This window comes from Homo sapiens, chromosome 15 (genome assembly GCF_000001405.40).
Source record: "Homo sapiens chromosome 15, GRCh38.p14 Primary Assembly".
NCBI lineage: Eukaryota > Metazoa > Chordata > Mammalia > Primates > Hominidae > Homo > Homo sapiens.
This window is the reverse complement of record NC_000015.10, coordinates 28,418,508-28,427,039: the sequence shown is the minus strand read 5'-3', so window position 1 is coordinate 28,427,039 and position 8,532 is coordinate 28,418,508. Positions and strand designations below refer to the sequence as shown.

The 8,532-nt window shown below is 38.6% G+C and overlaps 1 non-coding gene across 1 annotated transcript; it reads right to left on the bottom strand.

Moving 5' to 3' along the window:
* Positions 1-455: 455 nt before the first annotated feature.
* MIR4509-2 (microRNA 4509-2) lies at positions 456-549 on the bottom strand. Its single transcript, NR_039733.1, has one exon. It is a non-coding gene; the product is annotated as a microRNA 4509-2 (primary transcript).
* Between the last annotated feature and the right edge of the window lie 7,983 nt (positions 550-8,532).

The window sequence follows — 8,532 nt, the reverse complement described above, 5'->3', positions numbered from 1 at the left end:
CCTTAAAAATAAAAAGTCAGGCTTAGATAAGACTTTTTTTCTTCTCTGTTAACATTATTAGAAGACATAAAGATTTTAAGAGAATAAAAATATGATCAAGAGGATCATAAATATCAGGTTGTCTTTACCTGAGTACGAAGCAATGGCATCTGTATATCCAGCACTGATTTGTCCTTCCAATAAAAATTTACTCAAAGACATATGGGTACATATTAGAAAAATAATCAAAATTAATATTTCAAGGATTAGGAAGTTGTGAAGCCAAAATCCTGCAAGGGGACAATTGATTCAGTTAATGGAAAGATTTATTTTTCATATTTTATGATTATTTACCAAAATAATATTTTTAAAGTATAATTATAAAATAAAAATAAAATATTTAACAATACTATAATTATAATCATGTTCCAAGTTATAAAACAAGATAGTGAGAATTGTCAGTAAGATAGTAAGAATTCTAATACTATCTCAAAATAAAGGATACAGAAGGTTTCAGGGCAAGAGAAAGGGAAAACCTTCTATATCCTTTAGTTTGAGATAGTATTAAAGCTTTCTGTAGGCTCACTCAAAATGTCCGGATTCTGACCACATTTGAATATGAGCACTCCCAACCTGACGATTCCTAGTCTAAGCCACACATATTTCCTCTTATGGTTATTGCAAAAGCTCCCTAACTGGTCTCCCAGCTTCTGCCGTTGATTCCTTTCAGCTATTTTTTACACAAGTGCCAGAGAAATCTCAGAAATGCAATTCAGATGATATCACTTCTTTGCTTATATCTTTCAATGTTGTTCCCCTCTACGTGTTCATGTATTCTCCCCTTTGACTCTCGCTTCTAAGTGGGAACATTTGGTTTTCTGTTCCTGCATTAGTTGGCTAAGGATAATGGCTTCCAGCTCCATCCATGTTCCTACAAAGGGCGTGATCTCATCTTTTATGGTGGCATAATATGCCATGGTGTATATATACCACATTTTCTTTATCCAGTCTACCATTGATGGGCATTTATGTTGATTCCATGCCTTTGCTACTGTGAATAGCGCTGCAATAAACATATGCATGCATGTGTCTTTATGACAGAACAATTTATATTCCTTTGGGTGTATACCCAGTAATAGGATTGCCGGGTCGAATGGTAGTTCTTTTAGGTGTTTGAGGAATCACCACACTGTCTTCCACAATGGCTGAACTAATTTACACTCCCACCAACAGTGTAGAAATGTTGCCTTTTCTCCACAATATTGCCAACATGTTATTTTTTGGCTTTTTAATAATAACCATTCTGAATGGTGTGAGATAGTATCTCATTGTACTTCTGATGTGCATTTCTTTAATGACCAGTGATGCTGAGCTTTTTTTCTATGTTTGTTGGCTGCATGTATGTCTTATTTTGAAAAGGAGGGTGAAAGCTGGGAGGAGGGAGAGGATCAGGAAAAACAACTAGTGGGTAGCAGGTTTACCATGTGGGTAACAGAATAATCCGTACAACAAACCCCCATGACACAAGTTTACCTACATAACAAACCTGCACGTGTACCACTGAACTTAAAAGTTAAATTTAAAAAATAAAAAATAAAAAAATCTTTCAATGGTCCCATGTCAGTTTGAGGAACAGCCAAAGTCCTTAAAATGACTTACAAGGTGCTCGTTCCATCATCCGTCTTCTCATGTTTATTTCTCTGCCACCATCTACTAATACTCTTCCCCCTTCTCATTCTACTCCAGCTATAATGGCTTCCTCGATGCTGTTCTAAGAATAAGTCCACATGATTCCAACTCAGGGCTTTTGCCCAAGCTGTGGTCTCTCTTTGGAATGCTCTTCTTTCAGCAGAGCACGATTCCTCCTCATTTCCTTCAAGTCTGTCCCCAAATGCCTTCTACCTGGTGTGTAATTGTCATGTGTGGCAGTTTTAAACATAGTCCAAAAACAGGTTGATATTCTTCTCATCAAAAAATAGGTCTATGTCTCCCTTCCCTAAATCTGGACGTGCTTGTGACTGCTACAATCAATAGAGTATGACAAATAATTCTACCTGACCTTTAAAGTGAGATAAAAAGAGACCAGGCATTTTCCACCTGGTTCCCTTGGAGTGTTTGATCTGCGGAAAGCCAGCAGCCATATAAGAAGTTTACCCTGTGCAGGCCGGGCGCGGTGGCTCAGGCCTGTAATCCCAGCACTTTGGGAGGCCAAGGCGGGTGGATCACGAGGTCAGGAGATCGAGACCATCCTGGCTAACACGGTGAAACCCAGTCTCTACTAAAAATACAAAAAATTAGCCGGGCCTGGTGGTGGGCGCCCGTAGTCCCAGCTACTCGGGAGGCTGAGGCAGGAGAATGGCGTGAACCCGGGAGGCGGAGTTTGCAGTTAGCCGAGATCGGGTCACACCACTCCAGCCTGGGGGACAGTGAGACTCCGTCTCAAAAAAAAAAAAAAAAGTTTACTCTGTGCAGGCACTATAACTAAGAGTCCTTCCCATCTGAGCCTTGCCTTCCAGACAACTCCATCAATTTATAAGACAGAAAAAAAGCACCTTGCACCTTCCAGACTGACTTGTTTGCCAGCCGACTAGCACTGAGTCACCCTAGTTAATGATGTGAGAGAGGAAGAATCACTCAGATGAATCCTGCTGGAATTTCTCACCTATAGGATCCATGAGATATAATGAAGTGGTCGTTGTTTTACCTTATTAAATTTAGGGTAGTTTCTTTTTTCTTTTTTTAAATTTTTTTTTTTTTGAGACGGAGTCTCCCTCTGTCGCCCAGGCTGGACTGCAGTGGCGCGATCTCGGCTCACAGCAAGCTCCGCCTCCCGGGTTCACGCCATTCTCCTGCCTCAGCCTCCCGAGTAGCTGGGACTTAAGGCGCCCACCACCACCAGGCCAGGCTAACTTTTGTATTTTTAGTAGAGACAGAGTTTCACCGTATTAGGCAGGATGGTCTCGATCTCCTGAACTCATGATCCGCCCGTCTCAGCCTCCCAAACTGCTGGGATTACAGGCGTGAGCCACGGCGCCCAGGCCATTTGGGTTAGTTTCTTAAGCAGCAATAGTAACTGTAACACTGACTCACTTCTACTGCCACCAATCACTATCCACTTTTCCTGATTCACTTCTTCCTATGTACCGTCTTTTAAAAAACAAATAATTAGGCCGGGCTAAGTGGCTCACGCCTGTAATCCCAGCACTTTGGGAGGCTGAGGCGGGCGGATCACGAGGTCAGGAAATCGAGACCATCCTGGCTAACACGGTGAAACTCTGTCTCCACTAAAAATACAAAAAAGTAGCTGGGCGTGGTGGTGGGTGCCTGCAGTCCCAGCTACTCGGGAGGCTGAGGCAGGAGAATGGCGTGAACCCAGGAGGCGGAGCTTGCAGTGAGCCCAGATGGCGCCACTGCACTCCAGCCTGGGCGACAGAGCGAGACTCCGTCTCAAAAAAAAATAAAAATAAAAAATAAATAAAAAAAGATTTTTAATATATATATACGAGAATATGTGAAACAGTATGTTTTCAAGTTTCCATTGAATATTTTAAAAATAGATTATATAAAACCTCAACATATTTTTTAAAATAAAAACCACACAGGTCACATTACCTACTCAAAATTTAATTACATTAGAAATTAAGACAAAGTTAAAACAGGACAACCAGCACCCCTAGTATCACCCTCCTCAGAGTATTTAAAAATAGATTCCTTTAAATTATCTCTTGTTTTACAAGAATAAAATCTAATCAATTATTAGAAAGATAATCTCAAACTGAACTCAAAAGAAGAAGCAAAGCATCTTCAAAGTCAATAAGGGTGCTATAAATGCTTCTTGGACTCTGAAACTCTCTGACTTCCCATTCTACTCTCAGTTGTAGAAAACTCCCTGATTGTGAAGTTTTGGTGTGATTAGGTTAGGTTTACCCAGATACTCCCCCCGTCTTAAGGCTGACGGATTATTAGCCTTAGTGACATGTGCAAGACTCCTTTGCCGTGTGAGGTATCAACAGGGTAACATGAGGAAATGAAGGTCATAGGGGCTATCTTAGACTTCTTCCTGCTACAACCTCTATTCACTTATTTTGAAACCTCAGAGTTTGATGAGCTCCTACTATGTTCTAGGTCCTTGCAATAGGAGTACAGCAGTGAACAAGACAAACATGGTTCTGGTCCTTGGAGTACAAAGTAAATGCTGAAAATTTAATAAATGGGTCAGTAGATAGATAGATGTATAAAGGTCTAAATGCACATTCAGAAAATAGCAGGAGAACACTGAGACTCAGTATTATTGAATATGCTTTAAAGGCCCATGTGTCGTCTTGAATGAAAATGTTGCTCAATTTCTGATGAGGAGACTAATTCATCAATATCTGTTATCATTGACTGATGACCTCACATAATAAAAGATCTTGACTTGAGTGTACGTTAATAATCAACATAATGGGTAATGTATCAAAAGAGTATATGGAAGATAATAAAAAGATATAAATTGAAATCTTAAACAGTTTTGTGCTAAAATATGTTTAGAATTGCTTGAACCCAGGAGGCGGAGGTTGCAGTGAGCTGAGATTATGCCACTACACTCCAGCCTGGGCAACAAGATCCAACCTCCGTCTCAAACAAACAAACAAACAAACAAACAGAAACAACCCAAACAAACACAAAAAGTTACTATAATTGTATCTCTTTTGACTATAGCCTGGAAGAAATCACTTTCTCCCCAACTTAAGGAAGGGGAGACTTATCTCTAGCCAAGCTTTGAGTATAAACATATAAAAAGTAATTTTCATTTTCTTGAAACTGACTGCATGAAAAGGCATATGGTGTTCCCAAAAAATGTCTGATGAGTGAGAATATTAAAATGACTAAACTGATGGGACATATTTAATTTAATATTTAAACTTGATAAAAAATAGTTAAGCATTTAACTCAAGAATTTCAAAATGGTACGGCAAAGCATACAAGCAAAATTAAAAGGAATGCTAATTACATATTAAGTTAGAAGGCAATAAATTATAAACAAAAACAGTAACAATTTATAAACATACACAAGTTCATTCTTTAACAAATAACCCATGATACAGAAAAATATAGCAAATGTGATAAAACAAAAACTGAGAAAACATAAAATTTAAAGTGAAAAAAAACAAAACATGCAGAAATTGTTTTAAAGACAAAAAATACTATCTTAGAAAATTAAATACGTGTTTCACTAAAATAAACATGTACTGCTTAAATGAATCTTAATTTAATTTTAAAAACAGTAAATAGGTTGCAGGCATCAATTTTTGCAAGAAATGTAAAACATTATTTTAAAAATTTTTATTAAAGTCCCTATAACCAGTGTTTTTAATAAGCATCTGTTTAAAACATCTTGTAAAATGGACCCCAAACTAGGAAATATGGATAAAGTTATAAAAAGTGGCTTCCTTTCAGTTCATTTTACAAAGCAAATATAACTATTACTAACTCTTGATGAAGTGAATACAAAAAGAATAAAATTACTAAACAGTATCCCTTATAAACATAGTTAAAATATTCTTAACTGAAAGAAAAAGGAACTGAATTCTACACTTACTAAGAAATCACCCACCCCAGTGATTTGGCATACAAAGATTTAATACTAGAAAATATATATTAATATAATGCAACACAACAATAAAGCTATTTACTTTATATTGTACATTTACTGCTACAGACTAAATGTTTACATCCCTCTCAAATTCATATGTTGAAATGCTAACCGCCAATGTGAGGGTTTTTGAAGGTGGGGCTTTTGGGAACTAATTAAGTCATGAGAGAGCAGCCCTCATTAATGGGTTTAGCACCCTTCTAAAGCAGCCCCCTGAATTCCCTTGCTCCTTCCCCAACTGAGGTTATAGAGAAAGGGCAGCCTTCTTTGAACTAGAACAAAAGTTTTTCCCAGACACCAGATTGGCTAGTACCTTGGTCTTAGATTTCCCAGCCCCCAGAACTGTGAGAAATTCCTTTCTGTTGTTTATAAGCCACCAAGTCTATGGTATTCTGGTACAGCAGCCCATTTTTGATATTTATTTAATGATATTTAACATGCATGACTGATGAAATTTAACAAAGTAGTTATAGATATGTCCTTACCATGATTAAAAATAACTCTTAAATTGATGCATACTTTTATTATCTAGTTCTAGCCAAAGCCATAAGATGAAAGCACAAATAAGAAACCACCTATATGGCACATGTATACCTATATAACAAACCTGCATGTTCCTTGCATGTATCCCAGAACTGAAAATCATATTTTAAAAAAATTTATTTATATAGAAAAAAAGAGAGCAAATGATAATATTTTTCAAAAACTGATAATTTAATTATGGTAAGTTCTGTGTGATATGTGCCTGATGTGTGTGATATGTGTCTGATGTGATATGTGTGAGATGAAAAACACTAAGGGAGTATGTGATTTTGAGCATTCACGTGCCCATAAATCCTTGTTAGAATTAAAATATCACATTAAACCTCTCTCTTTCTTTTAATGTCCATGGTTTCTTTATATGTTTTAGTAAGTGACACAGAGGAAAATACTGAGCGGACACCGTTTCTAAATTGGTAAACTGCCCTGAACTGCCACTTTACTCTTTTCTACAGCAAGTGTGGAAGATTAGAGTTCAGGCAAACATGTCATGTAAGTGGTGAAGATTCCCTTTTTCCACTGGGACAGCAGTAGAACTGAAGGGAAATCAGACAACAGCTACCTCAGCAGGAGAGCCTCAATGATGACACTTTTGCCTCAACAGTGGAAGCTGGTAGTTTCCAAAAATAGAGCTAAAAAGTGAATCAAGTTTTAAATCACATTGAAAGTCACACGTAAAATTCATTATTACAGAAAAGCTATAAACCAATCACAGTAAATGAGTGAATTTAGAAATTAAATTTTAATATGAAAGGTTCATGTTGTCAAAACTGACTATGTTAGTCCATCTCAATGTTATAAAGGAATACCAGAGACTGGGTAATTTATAAAGAAAAGAGGAGTATTTGGGCTGATGGTCTGCAGGCTGTACAAACAGGCCACCAGTATCTGCTCAGCTTCTGCTGAGGCCCGGGAAGCTGACAATCATGGCTTAAGGCAAAGGGGGAGCTGGCATATTACATGGGGAGAGAGGGAGCAAGGGAGATGCCAGGCTCTTTTAAACAACAAGATCTCTCGTGAATTCATAGAGCAAGAACTCACTCATTACCAGGAGGACAGCACAAAACCATTCATGGGGATCCACCCTTGGGAAACAAACACCTATTACTAGGCCCACCTCCAACACTGGAGGTCGCATTTCAACATGAGATTTGGAGGGGACAAAACATCCAAACCGTATCACTAACGGAAAGTTATTGTTTAAATTTCTGTATTCAGTCCCTTGGCCTTTTTGAGAAATGCCATTCATTTCAGCCATCAAGCAAATTATTATTTGAGACATTTATACCTCTTCATCCTTTAAAAGTTTCAGAAGCATGAATTTAAAAAGTATTCATTGTAAATTTGAGGCTAGTCAAATTGATGTGGCATCTAAGTAGCACGGTGATGGGATGAGGAGACAAAGTCACGAGGGGAGGTAGGAAGAAGCAGAGAGAAAAAGAGAAATAGGAAGAGAGAAAAAGAAATGAGGAGAGAGTATAAGAAAAATAAAGAAGAAAGAGGAAAAGAAAAATGGTTTAAATGAGAGGCAAATGTCATCTGATGTTTTACCATGGGGCCATAGGGTATTTGAAGTTTCAGAAAATTCATAAGTTATTAAAAAATGTGACTCTAGGGTAGTGAGGTTATAACTTGTAAGAAAACAAGAAGTGATTCCTTTTAAGAGAGCCTTCTTGGCCGGGAGCTGTGGCTCACGCCTGTAATCCCAGCACTTTGGGAGGCCGAGGCGGGTGGATCACGAGGTCAGGAGATCGAGACCATCCTGGCTAACACGGTGAAACCCCGTCTCTACTAAAAATACAAAAAAAATAGCTGGGCCTGGTGGTGGGCGCCTGTAGTCCCAGCTACTCGGGAGGCTGAGGCAGGAGAATGGCGTGAACCCGGGAGGCGGAGCTTGCAGTTAGCCGAGATCGGGCCACACCACTCCAGCCTGGGGGACAGTGAGACTCCGTCTCAAAAAAAAAAGAAAAAAAAAAAGTTTACCCTGTGCAGGCACTATAACTAAGAGTCCTTCCCATCTGAGCCTTGCCTTCCAGACAACTCCACCAATTTATAAGACAGAAAAAAAGCACCTTGCACCTTCCAGACTGACTTGTTTGCCAGCCGACTAGCACTGAGTCACCCTAGTTAATGATGTGAGAGAGGAAGAATCACTCAGATGAATCCTGCTGGAATTTCTCACCTATAGGATCCATGAGATATAATGAAGTGGTCGTTGTTTTACCTTATTAAATTTAGGGTAGTTTCTTTTTTCTTTTTCTTTTTTTAAATTTTTTTTTTTTTGAGACGGAGTCTCCCTCTGTGGCCCAAGCTGGACTGCAGTGGCGCGATCTCGGCTCACAGCAAGCTCCGCCTCCCGGGTTCACGCCATTCTCCTG